Source organism: Homo sapiens, chromosome 10, assembly GCF_000001405.40.
Source record: "Homo sapiens chromosome 10, GRCh38.p14 Primary Assembly".
NCBI lineage: Eukaryota > Metazoa > Chordata > Mammalia > Primates > Hominidae > Homo > Homo sapiens.
In genome coordinates this window covers 60,357,964-60,384,360 of record NC_000010.11, presented here as the reverse complement: position 1 = coordinate 60,384,360, position 26,397 = coordinate 60,357,964, and the positions used below count along the sequence as shown (strand labels likewise).

At 37.4% G+C, this 26,397-nt stretch overlaps 1 protein-coding gene across 4 annotated transcripts in view, besides 1 other annotated feature; it reads left to right on the top strand.

The window, feature by feature from the left end:
- ANK3 (ankyrin 3) overlaps nucleotides 1-26,397 on the top strand; it is a 707,231-nt gene that overhangs the window by 349,168 nt on the left and 331,666 nt on the right. The window lies entirely within an intron of this gene.
- Nucleotides 25,966-26,055: a silencer, noted in NCBI's record as "silent region_2388". NCBI's record gives its function as "represses an Ori minimal core promoter by ATAC-STARR-seq in GM12878 lymphoblastoid cells {active_cell/tissue: GM12878}" and the evidence as "EXISTENCE:reporter gene assay evidence [ECO:0000049][PMID:35858748]".

The following is a 26,397-nucleotide window of genomic DNA, read 5'->3' as shown; positions in this document are numbered from 1 at the left end:
TAGTGTCTGTTTTTCTTACCCTCTGCAGTAAATTTTAATGTTTTTTCTTAAGATTCTTTTTTAAAATTTTTTGGAAGTTAGAAATGAAAATTACCAACACAAGGATTTCAAATCCTCAGACACATTGTGTAATGACAACATAACAGTGTGTTAGATGCCTGTTGTATGTCAGCAATGTGCAGAGGATTCCCATGGGTTATTCTTTTTTCTTCCCTATGACTTTCCTATGAGGCAGGCATTATTTTCATCTCCATTTTTGTAGGTAAAACTAAGGCTTAAAAATACCTTGTCTGAGGTCATATAGCTAGTGATTGGTGGACCTAGGCTTGAACTTGGGTCAAAGGACTTTGGGTTCTGTATTTAACCACTGGGTTTATTGTAATGAGATGCTAGCAGTCTCTTTTAAGGTCAGCCACAATATAAGGGTTTGAGAACAGATTTTTTAAAGACATGAACTATACTGTTATTTCTTGCTATTGAAGCTCAGTGCTTCCTGATGTTTTACAGGCTTTCCCCATTCCTAATTACCTGGGTATCTCTGACACCCTAAGATGCCAGGCAAGAGTAAGGTTTTGTACTGCAGCAGCTGGACTTTTATGGTAGAAGATTGTGTAGATCTTTATGAGATCAAGGAAACTTGCTCTGTTCCCTGCTGCATTGAGTATATGGACTCCAGGTCTCCAGGGAGCATGGTCAATTAGCATACTTGATATTCTGTACCATAATTATGTGTTTACATGTCTGTCTTACCAAGAGACTATGAGCTCCTTGAGGCTGGAGATGGTGTAATTATCTACTACAACCAAACTGGGGCTTGCTGGGTGGTGAATGAGTGTATGAGAGGCAGTATCATGTAATGATTAAGAGTGTGAACTATAGAGTAAGGTTGTCTGAGTTCAGATTCTGGCACTATCAATTAGCTGTTGACCTTGGGGAAGTTATTTAGTCTCTCTGTGCCTCAGGCTCTCCACCTGCAAAATGGATGTAATAGTAGGATGTGCTTAGGATAGGGTTGTAATGGGGTTTCAGTGAGTTAATATTAAAACAGTGCTTGGCACAAAGTAAAAGCCATAGTGTTGTTGCAGTTGTTGTTGTTGTTCAGAATGTACAGACAAATGAACAGAAGAATAAACGGACTATAGTGTGAGTATTTAGTGTTAGCCAATGTACTGAGTCATTAACCAAAGTTGAGGTTTGTTTATGCAACTTGCCTCAGGTCACAGAAATACCTGGTCTTGGAACCAAGGCCTGTGTGGTTGTAAGTTTCTTGCTTGGGCCATCAAAACCTCTACAAGAGAGGTTTTCTTAAGGGTGATTCTTATTAATGGACATCCAGGGTGAATTCTTACATCAAGAAAAAAATTATCACTTTTGAGATGTTGAAAGTTAAATTATTTACTAATTCAAATTTTAATAAATCATTTAAATTTAACTGCAAAATCTAGATTTGTATATTCCTTTATACTTAGTGTACTTCTGCATTTAAAATTTTAAAATAGAATCCATTTACTGAAAAAACAATAAAAGCATTGGCATATATATATATATATATATATATATATAGATTTAGGTATAGGTTAAATATCGAAGGAGAATATCTAAATACAACATTATATTGTCAGTCACATAATTCAAATTTTATTTTCAAGAAATAACAAGCAATTTGCTATAGTTTTGCCCAAATTGTTGTTCTAGTTTATATTATGTGAATTGAAAGTAGAAGAGTTAAAAGCAAACCAGAGGACATCAAGCTTGAATCATTCACATATACGTCAGAGTTTTTTCTGGTACTTATTCCATTCACCCAGGATTCTGCTTTCATGGACCAAAGTGGAGTCATGAAATGGGATCGTCCATTATTGTCAAATGTGGGAGGTGCTTATAAAATATATAGATTTCAATTTAGATTTAATTGGTTCTGGTAAATGATTTCTCAGTCATGGGTGACTTTCTGATTAATTAGGATCATATCCTCAGTTTTGTCTGAACTTAGATGTATCTCATTAGAATGGGAAGAACAGAGACTACCATTCATATCTGCTGGATATAGCTTACCTTTTGGCAGAAGAAAAAAAGTCTACTAATACCATCACCACAGGAGAAGAAGGATGTGTGGACTGCATGGTAAAAAATGGGGAAATAGAACTAGGCCCTAAGAGGGTTGGAAGGAAGGAAGTTCAAGATTTTGTAGGTACTGAAAGTCAGAGACACTGAGGCATTTGTAAGGTACCATGAAGGTACCCCTGAAATCAGAAATACCTTGTCTTGGAACCAATCAGATGAATAGCATTCTTTTACCCTAATAAAGTACAATTTTGTAAGACATCTATACAGTGAAAGAAAGTATGAAAACATGGTAAATTTTGTTTAATAGAAGATTAGAAACATTAATAAAACAGGCAAGCAATAAGGAGCGATGTGGGGAAGTATCTGGGCCTAAGCATTACAATTCATGGTATTGAAGAGAATGGGCCTTGAGGCTCAATGTGAGTTCACAGAGAAGCTGCTACTAATTAGCTGTGTGGCCATGAACTAAATTTCTTTGGGCCTCAGTTTGCACATTGATCAAATAGGGATACTATTTTTTCTTTACATACATGTTGTGAAGAGTAGAGATACTGCAAATAAATGCATTTGCCAGGTTCCTTGCATAAAAAGAGTGTATTTAGCAAGTTTCCAGCTTCCCCTCCTAAAGTACAGGTTCTTAAATGTCATTGAGGGATTGTAGTCAAGAATGACGTGGAAGAACTGAGAAAAAGAGGGAATATTTTTAACAACTTTTGCACCTTATAAGCACTCGAAATTATTTGCTGAATTGATACAGTGAATGAAGTTTTACTAAGAGACTGTCATTCCCAAACAACCATTTAAGTCCCACAGTTAGCTCTTTGCAAACTTTCCACAGCCCTCAGGGAATTAAATCTGTCATTTTGAGAAATACTCCTGAAGACTCATATGTTAAATACATTTTTCTATTCATTAACAATAGTACTAATTAGCTTATCTCAGTAGCTAAATGATTGCTGAGGCAGGTATTAAAGCTTAAGAACCCTATGTACAGACAGAGGAAGTATCAAATGATTCCTTTAATAAATGAACTTTATTTTGCACATTCAAACATAAATGTTGAAAAAGGAAAAAAAAAGACTGCTTGGGTTGAATGAAGAAATCTTCATTATATAGTTTATGTATTGTGATTATGTAGAAGGAACAAAATATTACTTATACAAGATAAGATTCATTACCAACCAATTTATCCCCCAATCTAGGCAGTGTCCATGATAGAGGCATTGTTACAGTTTTGGGACAGTCGGGGACTGGGAGAGGAATGAATAATCTGACCAATGTAGACTTATCTGTTGTACCTGGTTTCTGAACCTAAGGTGGCCCAGTGGCTGTCTTCCTTTATCGGCGGATTCCCTTCTCCCTGCGATCTGATTGCTACTTGCAAGAGCCTCTAAAATTTTCAATCACATATAGCTAGTTAACCTTCACCTGACCAAACTGGCCCACTTCCATAACTGCCACTTAGAATTATCAGTGTATTCAAACGCTCCCACTTGTCTTAAACAAAACAGAAGAAGTGAGTCTGAAACCTGGACATCTTTCCTTAGACATTTTCATCATAGACCCTCTGTGATTTTTTTATTGCAGGAAGGTCTACCCAGTGATACATCCAACAGCAAAAGTATATGAAGCAGAATTTACCTGTCCTGTTATTTGTTGGGCTATAATTCATTGAGGGACTACAGTGGGCCAGGCATTCTACCACATGCATGACGTAGATCATTGTATTGAATCTTCATGGCATGGATATTATTTTCCAGTTTTCTGGATTAGGGAAGTTATACTCTGAAAGTTTCAAAAACTTGCCCAAAGTTTCACAGTTAGTAAGTGTAAAGCTGTAATTCAAACCCCAGTTGGTCTGATTTCCAGCCCTGTGCTTTTTCCACCACTCTTCACACCTGGAATTGCCTCTATGTCACACTGAGAGCATCGTTTTTACAGAATACTGAGCTCCACGAGATGAGTCTTTCCTGGACCATGAAATGCCATGCAAGGGTTCCTCCCCCTAGGAAATCTCACATAGAATCCTTTTTGTGATTTATCTCTTTCCCCCTAAAGAACATTACAGAACGGGATGTAGATAGTAGGAGGGTGATATTACTGGATGTAATAAATAAATTGACTCAACTTCAAATGACTTTTACTTCATTTACTGGAAATGTATTCTACCTTAACAGTACTATAATTCTATTAATGCTAAAATAAAAAATATAAATATGATTAATTCCCAATGTTTGTATTTTTGAAGATAAGTGGCAAAATCACTTTGTGTCAGCTGATTTGGGGGGGGTTCTTCGATTTTTTTTAATTGACAAATGTACATATTCATGAGGTAAGTAGTGATGTTTCAATATAATGTAAAGTGATCAGATCAAGATAATTAGCATATTTATCATCTCAAACATTTATTTTTTTGTGTGTTGGACATGTTCGATATCATCCATCTACCTATTTGAAACTATATATTATTAACTGTAGTCATCCCACTGTGATACAGAATACTAGAACTTACTCCCCTTATCTAGCTGTAATTTTGTATCCTTTAACAAATCTTTCCTCTATACCTCCCTTTCCCCTACCTTTCCAGCCTCTAGTATTCTGTTCTTTTTACTTCTATGAGATCAACTTTTTTTTTAGTGTCTGCGTATGAATGAGAACATGCAGTGTGTAACTTCCTGTTCCTGGCTTATTTCACTTAACATGAAGTCCCCCATTTCTGCCCATGTTGCTACAAATGACAGGATTTCATTCCTTTTTATGGTTGAATAGTATTTCATTGTGTATATGTACACATTTTCTTTATCCATTCATCTGTTTTTGGACACCTAGGTTGATTTCATATCTTGGCTATTGTGAATCGTGCTGCAAAAAAACATAGGAGTGCAGATGTCTTTTCAACATACTGATTTTATTTCCTTTGCATAAATGCCCAGTAGTGGCATTGCTGAATCATATGGTAGTTCTATTTGTAATTTCTTGAGGAACCTCCATATTGTTCTCTATATTGGCTGTACTAGTTTACATTCCCACCAACAGTGTATAAAATTTCCCTTTTCTCTGCATTCTTGCCAGCATTTGTTATTTTTATTTTTATTTTTTTGTCTTTTTGATAATAGCAATCCTAACTGGGGTGAGATGATACCTCATTGTGGTTTTGATTTGCATTTTCATGGTGATTAGTGATGTTTAGCATTTTTCATATATTTGTCGTATGTTTTCTTTTGAGAAATGTCTATTCAGATAATTTGCCCATTTTTAAATCGGATTGTGTGGGATTTTTGCTGTTGAGATGTTTGAGCTACTTGTATATGCTGGATAGTAATCCCTTGTCAGCTGAGTAGTTTGCAAATATTTTCTCCCATTCTGTAGATTGTTTTTTCACTCTGTTGATTGTTTTTTATTTTTTTTTTCTGTGCAGAGGCTTTTTAGTTTGATATAATCAAGTTTGTTTCTTTTTGCTTCTTTTGCCTGTGCTTTTGAGAACTTAGTCATAAAATATTTTCTCAAACCAATGTCCTACAGTATTTCCTGTGTTTTCTTCTAGTAGTTTTATCATTTGGGGTCTTATATTTGGGTCTCTGATTCCTTTTCAGCTGATTTTTATGTAGGGTAAGAAGGGAAAGTCTAGTTTCATTCTTCATTCTTTTGCATATGGATGTACAATTTTCCCAGCACCAATTATTGAAGGAATTCTCCTTTCCCCAATGAGCGTTCTTTGCACCTTCGTCAAAAATCAGTTGGCTGTAGATATGTGGATTAAAGTTTGCATTGTCTATTCTGCTTCATTGGTCTATGTGTCTGTTTTTATGCCAGTATCATGCTGTTTTGGCTACTATAGGTTTGTAGTATATTTTAAGTCTGATAGTGTCAATTTTTTGCTTTTTGAAATGAGTCTATTCCCACATTTGCCAGCACCTTTTATTTTATGCTTATCATTTTTATGAGAAAACTGTGGAAAAAGCTGGCTTTAAATATCTCACTCAGGGCTTTAAAACAGACTAATTTTTAGAGTTTAGATGAGAAATTAAATGCAATTTGTAGAATGGTAAGAAATTAACACCAGCATCAAAAAAACTACTTCAGCTGATGATACAGACAAAATGTTAGAAATGAGTCACCTTGGACTTTACCACATTCTTTTCTTATTATCAGGATAGAAAAGTCTCACAGGCCTTACGAAGTGATGGGGATTGTTTTCCTCCTTGACAATAGAAGCAATGAATAAAAAGTTGAATTTGAGGAGGGGGCTTGGCAAAAACTACTAAATTTCTCAAAAAATTGATTAGACAAAAACAGATGCTTTTAGACTTTGCTAGCAAACCTCAGTTTGGATTGATAGGAAACCTGCTAGCAAAAGTTAGGTTCAATTTACGATAAAAATAATTGGTAGGTGTCAAACATTGTTGTCTCACATAACAGTTAAATGAACCCTCTGAGTAAGGTGACATTATTCGCATTTTGCTGATGAGGAAATCAAGGCTTAGAAATTGCTTTTTATCACTATTACTGATAAATTCAGAGGCTGAACTTGAAGCCATGGCTATCAGACTCTAAGGCACCCTGCCCCTGGCCTTTATTCTGTTCGCAGATTATTCACCAGTCATATAAGATTCATGCATTTGGAGAAGGCTTTTACTTTCATTTTTATTACTTTATTTTCTATATATAAATGATTTTTATGTCATGTAATTTTTATCTCTCCCTCATCATCACCAGTATTGCTCATTTGTTTTATGTAGTAAAACTAGCTAAAAAGTGCTTTTTAAATAATGGTGCATGACTGAAGCTTTATGTTTTTAACTTCAAATATTACATGGGGATGTTAAATATTATTGCAAAAGCACAAAGCTATTTTGAATCAGGTGCATAAAGCTCATAATTGATATTGGCACTGTGTATTTACAATAGTCTAGGGAAGCAACATTTGTCAAAATCATAACCTTGAACAATGCATTTTGTTTTCTTCTAGTAACCCCTTGAAATGTCCAGTTTTTAAAATCCTGGCCACATATCTGCTACCTGGCTGGTTAGGGGTGAAGGAGACAGGACATGCTGAAAGGAACACAGCTTCAGAGGTCACTGAATCCCCACACTGTTCCCTGCTCCCTCCCCTCTTCTGCAAGGACCTGCTGTCCCTCTGTTCAGTGGCTTGGCCACTGCACCCCGATTCAATAACATGATGGGTATATTTACTTAGCTCTGTCAACCCTCAAAATACATTTGCCTGTCCTTAAGTAACAGGAAGATAACCATATTGATGTTTAAAAGTGCTGCCCGTAATTAATTTCTTTCCTTTGAAGCATGGCCATTGTTAACGATCCCTGTTTTACTATGCCTCTTCAGCTGGAGCCATTCTTTGCCATCTAAAAATAAATGGCTTTGTTATGCACATTTATTCCATCTGCATTTATTCCAACTACAGTTAATATATTAATACTAGGAATCCAGGCAGATTAAGTTCACCCATTCGTTTGTCTTCATTATTATAGAATTAGTGATCCTGATCTCCTCAATTCCAGTCTGATTCGTTTCAAAAGATATTGAGTGTGCCTCATCTTTGCTGAATTGCATCTTTGAGGGTGACCATGAATGCATTTAAAATATGTGTTTACACTGCTGACTGGGTCATGGCCTGGCCAATGCAAGTGCTGGTCTTGATTTTCCAGTCCTGCCCAGTGGCTAAGGTAGCATGAATTTTCTCTTGCTCCAAAGCATATGAGTCCAGTTTCTGGTCTTTTCCTGAGCTCTCCATGGAAGAGCCTTGTCTTCAGCGGCAGGCTGTAATTTGATTTTACATAACATGTTTCAGTGGATTTTCTGTAGGATAAGATTCAAATAATTATATAGCCATCCATTTGGCATCTGATAGACATTATGTTCTTATCTGCTTTCTGGTGGATTAGTTAGGATTCTGTTGTGGCACAGGAAAGGAGGGTACTCATGTTCATTTGGCATTCTCAGCTTTGACCTGTTTTCCTAGACCTCCATTTCAGCTTTAGTGGAAACTAAATTATTAATACGATCTGCATTGTGCCTGTGCAGAGAGCTTTATCCAGCCTGTTTTTTAAAGTGCTACCAGGAATCTCTGAAGTAATAGGAAAACAGATTTTTGGAGGCCCTGTGGAATAAGGGAAAGGGCCTGGGCATGGGCTGTGGAGGCAGACCGGCTTGGGTTTGAATCTTGACACAATTACTACTACTTCTCTGTGGAGTGTGAAGTCGGTTACTTAAGCTCTCTGAGCCCCTGTGCCCTCATCCATAATAATGCCTACCATGAAGAGACGCTATGAAGGCTAAATTAAATTGAACATGAAGTGGCCATCCCAATGCAGTGATTCAACAAATGTTAATTCCTCCCACTTCCCCACTCCTTTCTTCATTCCCTTGTCCACCTGGAAGAAATGAGGGTTTATTTTATGCTAAGCATATTTAGTGATAGTCATCAGTGAAAATGGGCAAAGTAAATTTGCTAAAGTGAATTACAAGCTGAGGGTAAATAAATAAGGAAACGATAAATACCTGTATGTGTTTATGTTGGGGGAAGTAGGGAATATGTATTCCAGAAAGGACAGTTAAAACCAGAGCCAAATTTCTAGTAGGAAGAAATGTGGTTTATGGAGGCATTAAACGTGGGGCAGGAGGCTTGGGTTCTAGCGAAGTGTGGTGGTATTTCCCAGATCAACCAGTGCAGCTCCAGCTGCTTCTGCACCAGCACCCCGACAGTCAGTGAAGGTGCCTCGGCCTGCTTGGGAGATTTTCTAAATTGTGATAAACCAGTCCTTCCCCCCTCCCCCCCCAGGCAGGCCTTAATGGGTTACCTTTGAGTTCTCACTAAAGGCCTCCCACTGGCAGTGCTGCTTGACTCCCAGAGCAAAAACCACTTGGAAGAAATTCATCAGCAGAAGTTCAGTTCTAGTGATTCTGGTAAGAGTGCTCATATGCAGTTTCTCAGGGACAATTAGAAGTAGGCAAACCATGAATTGTTGGGTTTTCTTGCTAAATATTAACTGTCAATGCAAAGAAGACTGCTTTCAGAGCTTTTGACAGTGTTTAATACCTGTTGTGCCCCTAGTACTCGTGCTTGATTACTTGTAATGTACTAGAGCATTCTGTGTATTCTTTGGACTTATTTTTTCTCACATCTAAATAGATGTCCATTGTAGAAACCACATTAAACCTAGAGAGGCAAAGATCACCCAGAGAAACATGGCTGTTCCCATTTTGAAATAGATTTTTTCAATGTTTTTCTGTGCGTGTATATACGTCACTTCTTCTTTCCTCCCTTCTCTTTCTTTTGTTTCTCTTCCCTTTTTTCCTCTTCCCAAATGAAGATGAGATAATAATAGTACCTCCTTTTTTGTAACCTCATTTTTCCACTAAAAATATAATGTGAACATAAAAATGAACATATGTCCACTTCAATAAATATATTTCTTTAAATTTTCAAAGGATCTATAGCATATTACTTTATGAGTGTACCAAAAGTACCAACGAATCTCTTATTTTTCTATATTCAGTTTATTTTCATTTTTGTTTTTATGAAAAATGCCACAAAGGACAACAGCACTTCATCTTTTTCCTAAACCCACAGTGTTCTTGTTTTCTACTCTCCTGGGTTTCTGGTGATTTTTGTTTTGTTTTGTTTTGTTTTTAACATGATATTCCAGGTCCTCCATTTTTAAGCCAGAGCTGGTATTTGGAACTCATTTTCCAAAAATCCACTAGCTGACCTTAGTTCTGGTGAGAATAACTCTACTTTTCACCATCCCCAGAGCATACCCTACTTTGTCACTGTGGGTCTTTGTGTTGGTCTGCCTGCAATCACTCCTTCTATCTCATATATACAAATCCTTCCAACTGCTGGGGCTCATCTCCTGCCTCACCCTCTTCCTGAAATGCTAGTTTATCCAGCTGGAAGGAATTTCTTTCATCTTAACTATTATTTTACAACTGTTTGTATCTCTCAGGAAACCAAAGATACTCTACATGGAAGTATAGTTTTTCTGAAGACATCTGATGAAAAGTCACAGGTATTGATTTGGAATGTTGGCAAGGCCCCTAAGGTTGCCCGCCGGATCCCCTTTCCTTGTCTGTTTTATCTCGAGGACCCTGACACTGGTCCTGAGAGTCCTTCCCAGCTCCAGTAGTATCCCTTGTGCTCCTACTGCAGGACACAGTAGGAGCACAAGGGATACTTGGAGCACAAGGCATACAAGGAGCACTTGGGCAGGACTACAAATCACAGTGTGTCCTCTTCTAGCTCCCTTGACACTGTCCTGTAGAATGAAGAAATGATAGTGGGTACACAGCTCTCTGCCCAGGGCTCTGTACTTTTCCTCCAGCCTTCATTAACTCATCTGCAATTCTTTTAGGCCAGTGACTCTCAACTGATGAGAGAAGAGGCTTCATCAGGTTCATCTGGGGTTAGCGTAAGCACCTGGCCTGGTTTGCCCAGGACTGAAAGGTTTCCCAGGATTCCACTTTCAGTGCTAGAACAAGGACGGCTATATCCCTCACTCCAAGAGCATATTAGAATTCATGGAGTGTGGTGGGGCAAATTGTAAAGCAAGGGAGAGATCCTCCATGCCACCTGTCTCTAAAACCATCTCAGCCTTGCTTGCCTTCCGTGACCTTGCCTTCCATCTGTGACTATGAGATCACTTTTTTTCCTCTAGGAGTCCATTTCCCATTTTGTAATTTCCAGTGTCATCAATAGGCTTTATTCCTACCTAAATTTCCTACCATCTCCTGACTGTTTAAGTACAGTGACATCTTCCCCATGTCATGTCATGGTGAATCGATTATATGAAAGTATATAAAATTCAGCTTTGGGCACACCAACTCCTGCTTTCATTATTTAGGGTCTCACCCAGGACCCAATTCTTGCCTTGTTTTTATCTCTCTTCAACTCCCAGGATCTTGTTTCTTATTCATTTGCATTCTTATTTTGATTATTTCCAACTTTGACTTTCCCCTGCCTATACTGCCTTAGCCAAGGGACGGACATTTAAATCTTCTCCCCACACAAGAGGCCCCTGGCCTGGCCACCTTCTACCCGATGAGATATTGGACATAAATAGACATAAAGAACATTACTACTTTCTAATTTAATTCTAGTTTCATTTTTTCCTGTCCCAGTCAGAGAAAGCCCACCATTGTTTTATTAGAAAATGATGGGGGATGCTACAAAGTTATGTAACTAAAATATTGCATGTGCAAGAGGATCACTTTTTACTCAAATTCATATGATGGAGATGACAAACATGATTTCAAATTGCTTTACAATAAATACTGGTTTTAAAAAAATCTACTGATCATGCCTCTATTTTTATACCAATCACTCAAATCATATTTAATGCATTTTTAATGACTTTATAGGCTGCAGATGAAAACACATGATTCAGTCACTTCATTAGAGTGAGTAAATGGATGATTTCATTTATTTTAAGTGAAAAGAAAAGCTACTGTAGACATCTGAATTTAAATCTATAGGATTTATATAAATACATCGGTTTCGAAGGGCAGAGTTGTATGGAAAATTCCCAAAGAGGCTCTAGAGTCAAGGAATCTTAGAGATGGAAGGGACTGTTGAGGTCAGTAAGCCGGGGCCTCTGCAGAGCCAGCCTCTCCTTGACAACAGCTCTATGCTTTGTCAGTCTCTGCTTATGAATTGCCTGTGACTGGAAATGTCCTATCTCTGAACATAGCCCCCATTGCTGAACAGTTCTGATTGTTAGAACATGCTCTCTTATTTTGAGACTAAACCTAGCACCCTGTCATGGCCACCCATATGCCAGCTATTTATATAGATAAAGATAGTGATATGTTGGTGCTGCTGCTTCTCTTCAAGTTAAACGCTCCCTGTTTCTTTAGCTGGTCTTCATAAGACAGAGAATCGTGATACCCCTTAAATCCTCTCTTAGCCATCATGAGATAACTAGAATTGACACTATTTCATGTGTGGATTGTCTAGATCATAATATATTGATGTAGTACATCCACAGTTGTTGCCACAATTGGTAAAAGGGGCCAAAGTCACAGTTGTTTTGGGGAGAAGGCAGTTGAGAGCCCATTCAGACCATTTTCATGGGAACTTTGTTTCTGTTTCACATAAATTTTTTTCTTCCTCTTTAACTTTTAGTTTTATCTCTTGGTTGGCTTTGAAATATATGAATTTAACTGATTTGTGGATATACTGCAACATTTATAAACAGCGGTAAAGTGTAGAATTATAAAGATGTGAAAGCTTTTTCCCTCTAATATTCTATCGTCTGTGTTTTCCATTGTAGTATTTCCCATTACCTTATGCCTCACACTTAGAAATTATATTCTAAATATTGATTAAGGAACAACCCTATGGTCTACATTGCTTTCTCTTTTTTCTACTTCCACTTGGCTTCCACCCTTCTATTTATGTTTCTGCTTTCTTTTCTCACCTTCTTCATCGGAGAAGTTTTCACTAAAATTCACTAGAACAGATGGAAATATTTTAATATCAGTTTGGATACCAGAAAGGAACAAGTTATGTAATGTGTTAAAATTTATGAAAGGCTGATTTTCATATAGTTCAGAATAACAAATTTAATAAACAGTTGGCTTCTTAGGGACTGAATCCTTAGATACTAGCAAGTATGTAGAATTATCTTGACTGGAGAATTACCCCATAAGAAGGACATAAAAAGAACAAAATTCTGAAACATTTGAGTATTTGTTGTAGTGCAGTGAATATGAAACATACATGTTTTGATTCAACAATATTTCAACATTTTGGTTCAAATATTTTTATGCTCCAGGGGTACAAAAAAATAAAACATGCTTCCAGTCCCTTGGGAACTGGCAGCCTATTAAGAGAGACAGACAACTTTAAAATAATTAAAATAGTCTTACAGTTGATATAGAAAATGTATAAGGTGCAGCCTCACCAACATCTGATATTTTTTGACTTGTTAACAATAGCCATTCTGACTGTATAAGGTGGACCTCATTGTGGTTTTGATTTGCAGTTTTCTGGTGATTAGTGATGTGGAGCGTTTTTTCATATGTTTGTTGGCCACTCGTATGTCTTCTTTTGGAGATCTTATGAAGGGGCACATCTACCAGGGCAGAGGGTAGAGATGAGACAGATGTGTAGATTGAAGGAGTCTTGAAAACTGAGAAGTGTGGCAGATATTGTAGGGAGCACAGATAGAAATGCTTTGAAAATTAATGGGACATGATGACTTACTGAATGTGGTTGGAAGAGAAAGGAAGGATCCCGAAAGAACCTGTCAGTGATGTCATGTGTGAGTGTCTGTAACCAATATGTGGTGATACCTTGTATTGAGAATGGAATGCACAGGGATTGGTTTCCACTTATTTAGGTTATGCCCCCTCCTTTCCTCCCGATTTCCCCTATTACTTTCAACTATTAACAGTATGTTTGCAAAGTAAGAAATGTTATCTCAGGTTGATGTTTAGCTTGAGTTTTCAGAGCTAGCTCACAAATGCTGAAGTTCTAGATTTGGAACATCCGAGAACACGGAAATCTACCAAGCTGATGAATTAGAAACCTGGAGAATAATTACTGAATAATTTTGAGAAGTGTTGAAGCCACTGATTTTTGTCTAAGCTGTCATTCACTGGGCATGATAAATGTTAGAAATACTAATTAAAAGCCTTCTCAGATCTAGACTATGGCAATCTTTGTGATAAGAACTGTGATGTTATAATTGTGTTCTCCCATTTACTGCGCTGTAAGTATTTGTTGGATTCATGATAGGGCCTTCAAAACAGTGTCATGTTTTAATGCATTCTTCTACTTTGAGAGCAATATTTGAATAGTGATTTTTATATATTTTTTCTTTTTAAATTAATTTTTCAATGCTATTCATAGCGATTTTTAAAAAATGGAAAATTAGAAGAAAATCATCCACAGTAAGCTCTGCATGATTAATATAATCCATTTCTTTTTCACATGCTGTAATAGCATTAAAAGTTTAATTTTCAGAAGTTTAGAGAAATGAAAAAGGAAGCATCTTGAAAAACAATTTTACATGAGAATAGTTTTTCCTTTCAAATCTTTTTGTTAACAAAAATAGGCACGATTACACTTAGATGTAAGAATGCTTGGAAAAGTTGCCAAGCTAAGTCTAAACAACATGGACTAGGTTTCACTTGTCTGAAATGTGCTACCTTTATTGAAAGATTGTTTAAAGTTTGAAGCTACATTTTAAAGATTTTTGCAAGAACATTAAAATGCACTTGGCTGATCTTTTTATAAAATACCTCTGAAGAAGTGTACATAATATTTTAATGAAAAATGTCACCTTAATATTAAAATCTCAAATTACCAGTAAAGAATGCCGTTACCCCAAAATCCATGAGACTAATTTTCTAACTCTTCTTGTAGTTTGTGTTAATGTGTGTTTGTAAATCTCTCTGTATGTTTAATTTCATTAACCTGACATTGTATATCAGTATAGGCAGTTAATAGTTCTAGCAGAAATAAATAAACAGATATCTAACGTGATAAGAGTTTATCTTAGATAAGAGTCGAAGTAGACAAACATGAGAGAGAACAGTTCACAGTTCATTTTGTTTTAAGATGAAACAGGTATCTACTGCTCAAATAGTTATGTTAAACAGGAAGTTCCCTGGATGGAATGATTGTGAGATATACAATGACATTTACCAATGTAAAGAAATCTTTTTATAATAAGAATAATTGTGTCTTGTTGTATCTGTGTTTGAGGTCACATATTCAATTATCATAAAATGAGGCATACATATATTCTAAGGCAAGAGGCCTTCTTAGACTCAGCCTTTTGTGCTGTAGACCACAGCTGGGTCATTGACTTCAGATAGGACTAGGAAGTCCCATAGTCCCTCTTGTCAGAATGGGGAATATAACAGGAATGAATAGCCCAGAACGTTAGCTTGAACTTGCAATTTAATAATGTTGAGCTTCTAGTTGCATTCTCGGCAATGTTTACTTTCATCTCATAACAATAAACTGTTTATGGTAATGTCCTAGTAAAGTGTGGCACTGAATCTGAGACATGTGGCACAAGGAATCCTTCAGCTTTCGTGTAAATGTGCAGCCAAAGATGTTCATTTTATTTGCTTATTTGCTTTACAATTATATGTCCAGAAAATTCTGAAAGGAACTCTGTGCTTAGATCTTGTTAGTTTTTACTGTTTCTAGGGAGTTTTTTTTTAAACCGAAGTATAATTTAGATACAGTCAAATGCACTGATCCTAAGGGTATAGTTAATCAGCTTTGACAAATGCACACAGTCATTTAACCTATTCCTTCCACAAGATGTAGAACCTTTCATCAGCCCTGAAAGTTCCTTTATTCCCTTCTATAGTCAGTATCCCCCTGCTACTTGAAGCAGTCAGCGTTAGGATTTCCAGCACCAGGTTGGATCTTAATGTTAATTCTTAGAGGTTATATGTCAGACTGACATGTCAAAAAGGATTTTCAAAACTATGTTTTATCTGAGGAGTTTTTTTCTCCATAGAGAATTATTCAGAAGTACGTGAATGGGGATTTAAAACTCAGCCATGCAGATTTCCATTCTATTGCTTCTAAAACACATGACAGCATTCTGTGTCTAATTGTTATTAAAGGAGGAGCAGGTCAGTTTCCAGCCTGTCAAAAATATTTCAAGTAATTTTCTTTCTTGTTTTCATTTGGCTCTATTTTAATTTCCACTTATGCTAAAAAATTGCTGCCAATCCATCATGATTATACCTTAACTTTGTGTGGTGTATACTCCCTTTGTGTAGGGCGTAGATGATCAATACATGTAAAGTTAGTAAGAACAATCAATAAACATCATGAATAAAGCCAAACAGCTCAGTACACCCCCCGCACTGAGTTTGGAGAAGCAATGTTTGCCTTGGTATCTATCAGCCTCTGTGGGGTGATAGGAGATCAAGTCAAATACTCCCCACATACGTACCTTCTCCATGACTATGTGCCGTTGCATGAAATGTGAAGCTCCGTCATTTGGATCTCATGGTAGCCAGACAATACTTTTGTTCTTTTTCTTGGAAAGTGTGTGTGTGTGTGTGTGTGTACATGCACTAGTGTATAGCATCATGTATTGCCCCTAGAGATTTTCTCTTCCCTTCTTTTAGTTAATGTGCTCTTCTTGATAAATAAATTTCAGAGGCAAGGTTGTAATAAACTGAACAATGCAGTGAGATACACAATTCTAGGATACAGGGCTACTTGTATTTCATTATTGCAACACGTGGAGTATACAATGAAATTGCACTGCTGTTGTAATTTATTCTCTTTATTAAAATAGACAAGCATTAGACAAGCCATAAAATTTCCATCTGCATTCACAGCAGGCTCCCACCATCTGAAATACAGATTTTCCCCCTTCTCTTGAAAACACCCAGGACTGAAACATTTTAATATTGGGGATCAAGAGAATTATAATATTTAATTTCTGAAAGCGATGGTTATCCTCATCAGTGCTTTCAACTGCTGCATCCATTTTAAAGAGAAAGCTCGCCTTTTATACTTAAATGTCACTGAGGACACAGGAGTTGGGTCAGAAAGATCTGCAGTGCAGCAGGGGGAAATGAATGGGTTCCCAGCTTGGTAATTCTGCTGTAGTTCTGCTTCTATCACCCTACCAGCCTAATCACCTTCAGAAGGAAAACAAAAGGCATTTTTGCAGTGTGCTGATGATCACCCCAGAGGCAAGGCAACGATTGTTGTTTTAGCACATTTTTCCCCACTGCCTGAAGGAGAAAAGCTTTTAATAATGGGAAATTGCCAACCAAGGCATGTAAAAGTGAAAGCCTCCTTCTCTGGCTAGAGGAAGAATTCATTTCTTTCTTTCTCTAATTTCAAAGCCAAACATTTGCTTGACATTTTAGGCATAGAAAGCATAGAGTCCTATAAAGATAGTTAAGAAGGTAATTGTAAATTCTAATCCTCTTTTTAGCAAACTGTTCCCCCACTTGGAGAATATTCTGTTTCAATTTTTCATAAAGGCAGTCTGATGAAAAATTTAAACAAACTCTTTTAGGAGCAAGTCTTCCGTCAGATGTCACGCCAAGCTCCCATTTGGTAGGAACGGTTATGTAAGGCAGTCTGTGCCATCTATCTCAGTAATAGACATCTAACAGGAATCCAGGGTCCAGGAAACTCTAATGCTTGTCTCTCCCTGAAGACTTCATGTTTGTGGTATTTCTGCCTCTGTTAACTTAAGTGTAACAGAAAATTTTAACAAGGTTAATCTCTTTAGAACGATGTTGGGAAAGGAGGATATATATTCTCTCCTTGGAGAGTAAAATAAAATGTTCACGCAGTACTATAATTAGGTAAATATAGTAAGAATAAAAATGATAATAGAGCACGTTTTTTCATTGGATAAAGGGATGGGATACAGTGCTTTGAGAAGGACCTCCAAGGACACTGAAGGGGAAACCGAAAAAATAAGAGTTCTGAAGTCTTAAGCGGTACATATTGATTTATTATTTACAAAGGACTTTCATGTACATTATCACATTTGATCCTTGTAACTCTGTGAAAAAGGATAGTGTCATTTTCACAGAAGTTATACTACTTGCTCAAGGTCAGTTGGCTACCAAGTTACTCTGAATCCTGAGTGATTTCCTCCCTGCCTCCCCTCTTTCCTCCTTCCCTTCCTCCCCAAGCCCCCTCACTTCCTGCCTCTCTTCTTCCCCCTTCTTTCTTCCTTCAATGTATTAAACAGGAAAAGTCTAGTATCTCCTCTTATTCTGCTAGAATAACCATTTCAGGCACATATCCATGGTGAAAGCAGGAAAGAAAGGTCTAAGCCTAACCAGATTGTATCACAGAGACCTGGAGGAGGTGCTGAAAGTGCCTCCTTTCCTGGCAGGGTCATTATCACTAAGGTAAAAACAGAGAAAGAGCAGTTGGGCTTTAACAAAGAATTTGTAAGTACAGTGGTTTAATTTTTTTGTTTTTTTCGAGACAGAGTCTGTCTCTGTCACTCAGGCTGGAGTACAGTGGCATGATCTCAGCTCTCTGCAAACTCCGCCTCCCGGGTTCAAGCTATCCTCTTGCCTTGGCCTCCCAAGTAGCTTGGGAGTGCGTGCCACCAAGCCTGGCTAATTTTTGTATTTTTAGTAGAGACGGGATTTCACCATGTTGACCAGGCTGGTCTCGAACTTCTGACCTCAAGTGATGATCCATTTGCCTTGGCCTCCCAAACTGCTGGGATTACAGGTGTGAGCCACCATGCCTGGCCTAATATTTTAGTCCTAAAACACAGGTATTTTGCCCTTAACAGGTGAGAGACTAAGGTTTGGTACAACTTACAGAGATTAAATGTGTGTGAAGTTGTTTCAACAGCTGTATGTATATGGTAATTTATTGTCATATTATTATTACTGTTACCACTCTCACTGCTGCTGACACAATCATAGTTTATCTTGGTGGTTAGGAGTCAGTCAGCTCTGGAGTAGGATTCCTGGATTTCCTGTGTTTAAGTCTCACCTCTGTTGCTTACTAACAGTGTGGCCTTGGGCTTGTTAATTAACCTCAGTCAATTTCCTCATGTATAAGATAGAGACAACAATAATCCGTCTCTCAAGGGGATCATTGGAAAAATTTCCTGAAATGGTCAACGTAAATTGTTTTAGAAGTGCTAAATAAGTCCCTGATGTTTTTCTCTCGTTCCATTTAAAGAGTATACTTCTGATTAAATCTTGGTTGAGACTTTTAAAGTTTCTCAATACTTGTCAACAGCAGGTATTTCTTAAACACTAGACAACCAAGAGAGAAATGCTTCTAATAACTGTTAAATGCTTATAATGTCATGCAATATCATATAATTCAATTTTCCCTTTTAAGAGCAGATTGATTGCCCTTTATTGTTTTAGAGATTTATTTTACAACAAACATGAAAACTGCTCAAGGAAAATGGTGATAGGTGTTATCAGATTTGGATTAATAGAATTTAAAGTGGAATTTGGGAGTAATCTTCAAAGCATGGGGATCTATAACTTCATAAGAAAGTATTTTTTATAGTTTTTGATTTCTTGAATATCATTTAGCAACTTATGTATCTTTTACATTGAATGATATCTCTGTAACAGAAAAGGCTAAAAGATCTTTATAAAGAATATCTTGCTAATATAAGAAGTTTTTCATTTCCCTCATCTCATTTTCTATTCTTTCCTTTTTTCAATAAATATTTTAGCATCTATTTTTTAGGCACCATACAAGATGAGGGAAAATGGCAAATAATAGCCAAAGCCTTGACTTGGAATTTAAAGTCTGTGTTTTTCATTCCTTGAAATGTATTACACAAATATTTCACATTTAAGTGTGTGGTAATTTGGGGGTATTTGTTCTCAAAAAAAAATCCACAAAAGGTGGATGTTGTCTTTACCCTTTGGAAATATAGAAAATGTCTCTGAATTTATGTTTCCTTTTTTTTTTGTTATTTGTTTAAAACATACAGTTCTTCCCCATTTACTTACAGTTTTGTAAATTGTCCACATTAAAAATTGTTACCTTATTTTCTCATTACATTAGGAAACAGTTTACTAGTAGGCTCTATGGCTATATTGTCTTATTTTTCTAACAAATTACGTCCATTTTTTAATTATACTTTAAGTTCTGGGGTACATGTGCAGAATGTGCAGGTTTGTTACTTAGGTATACACGTACCATGGAGTTTGATGCACCCATCAATCCACCATCTACATTAGGTATTTCTCCTAATGCTATCCCACCCGTAGCCTCCCACCCCCCAACAGGCCCCAGTGTGTGATGTTCCCCTCCCTGGGTCCATGTGTTCTCATTGTTCAACTCCCACTTATGAGTGAGAACATGCGGTGTTTGGTTTTCTGTTTCTGTGTTAGTTTGTTGAGAATGATGGTTTATCATTCTCAGCAAACTAATATATCCATTGTTATTATTAACTCTTCTCTTGAGATACCTCTTTACATCATTTCTAGATCACTTGAGCAGCCTTAATCATTTTCTCTTTTTTTTTTTTTGAGACCGAGTCTTGCTCTGTCACCCAGGCTGGAGTGCAATGGTGTGATCTTGGCTCACTGCAACCTCTGCCTCCGAGGTTCAAGCAATTCTCCTGCCTCAGCCTCCCAAGTAGCTGGGATTAAAGGCACCCACCACCATGCCCGGCTAATTTTTGTATTTTTAGTAGAAACAGGGCTTCACCATGTTGGCCAGGCTGGTCAGGAACTCCTGACCTTCAGTGATCTGCCCGCCTCAGCCTCCGAAAGTGCTGGGATTACAGGCTTGAGCCACTGAGCCCGGCCTGTTTTCTCTTAAAGTTAAAAAAAAAAAAAAAAAAAAAAAACACTTCTCCTTCCTCTTTTTTAACTACAGTGGGCTGGTAACACCTTTGTTGTTAGCTTAAAAATAAATTAATCCTATCTTTTTATAAAAACTTACGATGTTTTTCTATAAGAAAAGGGATTTAGAAAGGACATTATATGCATATGTTCCATTTTCCTGGTTGTACTGCCTTTTTCATTCTCATTTTTGATATGTACATCATATTTACTCTTTTGTTCTGTGATTCATGTTAAGGTTGTTTTGTTTTGGTACTTTTGACATTGGTGTGACTTAAGGAAATTGTAATGTTTTGAATTTCTTATTGGGCTGTGCCCTTATAATTTCTAATGAAAACATACTCATATGCCCTTTGGGGCCATCACAGTCGGAGAAGTGTTGCCCTGTACACTTAGCCACGCGCCCCAACCTAGAAAGGGTCGTGTGTTGAGAACCTCAGATAGTTGTTTAAGTTGCACATTCTCAATTCTATGGAATCTTCCCTATTTTGCCCTATCTGGGCCCTTTATTCTCCTCTAATTTTCTTGCCTCTATCCAGATACAAGTGGTTGGAGGAGTGATATATTTGTTAGGAATGTCTTTAGCTACAAATAGCAGTGCGTCTGACTAACAGTGAGGTAAACAAAGAGGGGTTTCTTTTTCCCCCACAAAACAAGCAATCTGAAGGTAGACAGCTGCTGGTGCTATTTCGGTTTAGTGATGTTGGCCTTCGCTCCCTTCGTTCCATGCTGCAAATCTGCATTCAAGATGGAAAGAAGTGAACGACAGGGCCAGCTATTCAGTGCCTTTATCAAAAAAAGCAGATGCCTTCCCAGAAGTCACAACCAACCTGGGTTTATATCCCGCTGGCCAGAACTGCATGTTGTATTGCGCCCCCCGCCCCCCTCCCCCGCCCGCCCGCCGCAACCCCAGCTGCAAGGGAGACTGGAAAAGTAAGTAGTTGGCATTTCTGCTGGAAAGGGTAGCAAAAGAAAACGGCTTGGGAATATCCAATGGATGAACAGAGAACAAGTCATCTATGTCCAGGATAGCCCACCCTATCTACTCTCCAGGACCAGCTCTAATGTCCCCGGGTAAAGCCTTTCCCAAATTCCTCAGACAGAGTTTTTCTCTGTGAATCCACCTGGTTCTGCGGTCATCATCAACTAGACTGAGTGTGCTCTCTGGGCGAGGGCTCCATCACCGCCCATGGTACCTGAGAGATGGTGCTCAGTGAAGGTTTGCTAAGAAATGAATCAATGTGTGGGGATCCTCTCAGTGTTACCTGAAGCCAGCTGCTGGAGGTATGCAGAGTGCTGAATGAGGAACTCTCCTTTCCACCTGACATTCCATCCTTGTCCCTGGACATTCCCTGATGAAATGCAAAACCACAGCCCTGACCACTCAATCGTATTCATTAAGATCCTATGGGGAGCTTTTGGCCAAACCCCTGCAGGCTCACGTGCGATAGAAGTATTCTCATTTGGGACAGTAAGCTTTCTGCCTTCCTAAAATTCTTACACAGTTTTAAATAGTGATAGCCATTTAGTCTCTTGATGATATAAATCTTAGCTCAGCATAACAATCAGTGCGGTTTTCTGAAACGAGAAAATGTACAAAATATCTATTCATAGGAATTATTCTTGGTTATGTCTGAATAGGCATATAATTCAAAATATAGTTTATACTTCCTGGAATTTACCCAAATAAGATAGTTAAACAAGTGTGCAAAGATATATGTACAAAGTTGTTTTTTGTTTTTTTCTAGCAGTGTTTTTTAATGAAATTTGGAAACATTCCAGCTCTTCACTATGGAGTTAGGTTAAATGGATAATGGAACACTATTGAATCATTAAAAGTGACCACATAGGACATCCTGAGAGTATAGATATGTTGTGGGGCATATCAAGTAGGCTGTGTGTATGTGAGAAGTAACCTTCTCTGCTTACAAAGCTGAAATTATGCATATATAGGGGTGGCTGTTCACCAAAATGTTAAATAATGATTATCTCTTCATGGTAACATTTTTCAACCTTAAAGTTTTTTGTATTGTTTTATTTTTGAAACCGTGTGTATGTGTTTTCCAATAAGAAAAAGCAGTTTTCACAAAACATAATTTTCCCAAAAAATGCTTTAGGTTAATGAAAAAAAAAGTCTGAAGAACTATGTACAAAACTTCAACTTACTTGACCCAAATTAACAATAAAACTGGATTAACGACCTTTCTCTTCTAATTCACAAGAATGGAAAATCAGGACAAAAAGTGAACTATAACTAGGAATATATTGTAAATAATAATCCTCAGAATATTTCTTGGACTACATCTCTTCCACTTCCCCCATACCTTGTTCCACTACAATGAATGATATCCCTGACTACAAACTCCTGCCAGTTCCTTTCTTACTGAATAAAGTGACTGAACTATATGAAATACAAGTGGAATAATACATTGATGAAATATTTTCAACATCAAGATCTAAACAAAAGGTATTTTCTGAAAAGTCTTGAGTTAAACCGAAAATTAAATTCACAATTCTATTCCCTAAACATTCCAATTAATAAAGCATTCACCATAGAAACTTTGAAGAAGTGGTTTTAAAACTCTCACTTTGAAATTCTAGTGTATCAAAGGACTATTACTGTTAACCACAAATACAGGTGAAAACTCCCGAGAGCAGTTCACTCATACTATTGTATTGCCCTGCTTTTTGGTAAGTAGAATAATTGTTAGTAGCAAAATTCCGATAACTCAAGTGGAAAATATATTCGAAAGGTAAAGGTACACATTAATTCTGTGGAATACTGAACAGCTTCCTTAGTCGAGAAAGAAAAGAAAACCCCAGAAGAAAGATTTCAAAAAATAGAATTGATCCAATGTCTTGATTCTGGAATATGTCCAGTATCTCTCATCTTCTTGTTGATAAAAACCTGCATGAGTTTTCAGACTAGTAAAGATTTTTACATTGTATTAATTCAGAAAATCTATCTGGTCTATTGTTTTTAATAATAATTTAAGCAGGTGTGGCATTTTTCATTTTCACCAATCTTTCTTAGAAAAAAATTGATAATCTTTCTGTGTAAATCTTCCTTTTTCTTTCATGGGTAGATCATAGGTAGAAATCAAGAAATATAATTGTTTCTCTATTTAAATAAGGGTTTTACACGATTAGATTTAAAGGTTAAATGTGATTTTTTATTCAAAAAAAAATCTTTAAGCTTCAATAAATCCAGCTCCTGTCTCCCGGGATATCCTGTCACTAGAAGGAAAAGAGAGTATTTTAGACAGTACTTTTTTTTTTGACACTGGTCTCACTGTCACCCAGGCTGGAGTACAGTGGCGTGAACTGCAGCCTCAACCTCCTGGGTTTAAGCAATCCTCCCATCTCAGCCTTCCCAGTAGCTGGAACTACAGGTGCATACCACTATGCCCAGCTAACTTTTTAATCTTTTGTAGAGACAGGGTCTTACTATGTTATCCAGGCTGGTCTCAAACTCCCGGGCTCAGGCAGTCATCTTGCCTCAGCCTCTCAAAGTGCTGGGACTACAGGCATGAGCCAACGCTCCAGGCCCTAGATAGTACTCTTTATTTTTCTCTTCACATAGTAAGAAATATTTCATACCAACTTTATTAAAAACAAAATGAAATAGATGTCCCACTGTAAGTTTCTTGACCTTTTAGCTGAGCACTCTTATTCTTTTAGCTCCCTGGAATAAAAGAATTGTTTCTGATAAAAGTAGATCCTCACTTAATTCCTTCAGATTTTGGTCAAAACAGGCAAATAAAGTAAGCCTAAAAGCGCAGTTGTCTCTCACTCTGCCAGGCACACATATAGGCACGCATGTACACACAGAGTACCAGATGCAACAAGATTTGAAACTGTGGTTAAGAAGCTCTATAACTATCAAAACTATTTTATGGATCCTAAAAACACTAGATATTTTAGATATCTTTTAGGAATCAGTTAATGTACTATTTTATTATACTAGTTCAGAAGTTTGGAGAGTACTGATGCCAAATAGAAATTTTAGAAACGAATAGTAGAGTTGTGCTTAATCCTTTAAGTTTGGTCTAATTTGATTACTTAGTATAATGGTTAAGAATTTTTATATTTTAGATAGTATGGCTGAACTCTTCATTCAAATTGGCATGTGACTTAAAAGAGCTTTGACTGATTGATAATCCTTTGATTAGTTTTAGAGACAGGGGCTTTCTCTGTCACCCAGTCTAGAATGCAGTAGCATGATCATGGCTCATTGCCTTGAACTCCTGTGCTCAAGCGATCCTCCTGCCTCAGCTTCCCAAAGTCCTGGGATTACAGGCATGAGCCACCACAACTGGCCCAAATAGCTTTGTTTTTAAAGGGATTTTTAAAAGACCAATTAGTAAGGATTTAGATCAAATTACTCTAAGGAAATCATAAATCACACCAATAAAATATAATCTGAACTTAAGAATACATGTGACAAATGCTTAAAAGAACCTCAAACTGACTGGTATATGATAGGGTGCTTTAGTAAATAATAGTAGTTAATTTATGTGTGAATTGGAAAGATGTTATTAGCTCTTTGCCAAAGTTGGGCTTGGTATATATTTGTAGAGAGAAATTGATCCAAGGGAGCCACTCTGACTAACACTTCCAACCAAGGTGTGAGGCATATGCTTTAGCTGGAGAGGAGTGCTATTGAGGCCACTGACATCACAGGGTCTCAATCAAATTGGGAGAGTGAGGGCAGCAGGTGCTTATAAAAGAGGAGAGCCAGATGTCTTTATGAACCACTGTTATTTCTCATTACCATGTATGTAGACATGGCATGCAAGCAGACATCAGGCATTCCTTGAGCACCTCCCTAGTGTCAGACACTGTTTTACACACCAGGGTTACAGTAGTGAATAAGACAGCATGAGACCCTGCAAGAATAGGGCTTATAGCTAGTGGAGATAGTCAAACAATCAACATGTGAACAATAAGCCAATAAGATAACTGCAGGTCCAAATAAATGTGTGAAGAAGGTACACTCGGCTAAGGTGGGTAGGTAGTAACTAGAAAGAGTTGCTTTATTTATTTAGGGTGGTTAGGATAGACCTCTCAGAAGAGATGACATTTGAGTTATAATCTGAATTACTAAAATAAAAAATCTTTTCCAAAAAAAAAAGGTTTATCAAACAGAAGGAACAACAAGTGCAAAGACCCTGTGGATTGATCTAAGCTGGTGTGTGTTAGGCTCAGAAAGGTGGCCAGTGTTCTAGAAGTAAAGTGAACAGAAAGAATGGCAGCAGGTGAAGTTAAATTTGACCTTGATGGGTCTGTTCTGCAGCCAGCTGTAGCTACATCAGCAAGTCAGTCAGATATACAAGTAGGGATGTCAATCAGGAGCCTAAATCTGAGACATGAGACAGCCATCTGTGAGTGTATTGAATTTTAAACCAATGGAACTCAGTGAGAGGGAAACTAAAGAATAGAGGATGACTGAGCACAGAGCACCCCATCATTTAGAGATCTAGAAAAGGAAGAGAAACCAAATGAGAGGCTGAGAAGTAAAACACAGTGAGGCAGGGGAAAGACCAGGTAAGCCTGCATGATTGTCTAGGGAGGAAAGTGATTTGTGAAGGAGGGTGTGGCCAACCAACAGTGTCTGATACAAGGGAGGTGCTCAAGGAATACCTGACATATGATTGCATGCCCTATCTACATAATGGCTTTGTAAGATGTAGGTTACTGGCAGTCTTGCTAGGTGGGTTAAAGAGAGGAGCAAGATAAAGAAGTAAAACAATATATTGGAGCATTTTATGGTGAAATGCAGCAGATAAATGACATAGTAGCTGGAAAAGTGGGATAAGAGAGAAGTTTTGGGTGTGTGTGTGTGTGTGTGTGTTTGTGTGTGTGTGTGTGTGTGTATACATATGCATGTTTTAAGTATGAGAAGGATAGGAAAAGCATCTCCTTGATGGGAAGATGACTGTAGAGATGGAGAAATTGACAATGTAAAAGGGACAGGAGATAATGGCAAAAGCTGAGTTTTTGAGAGGGCAA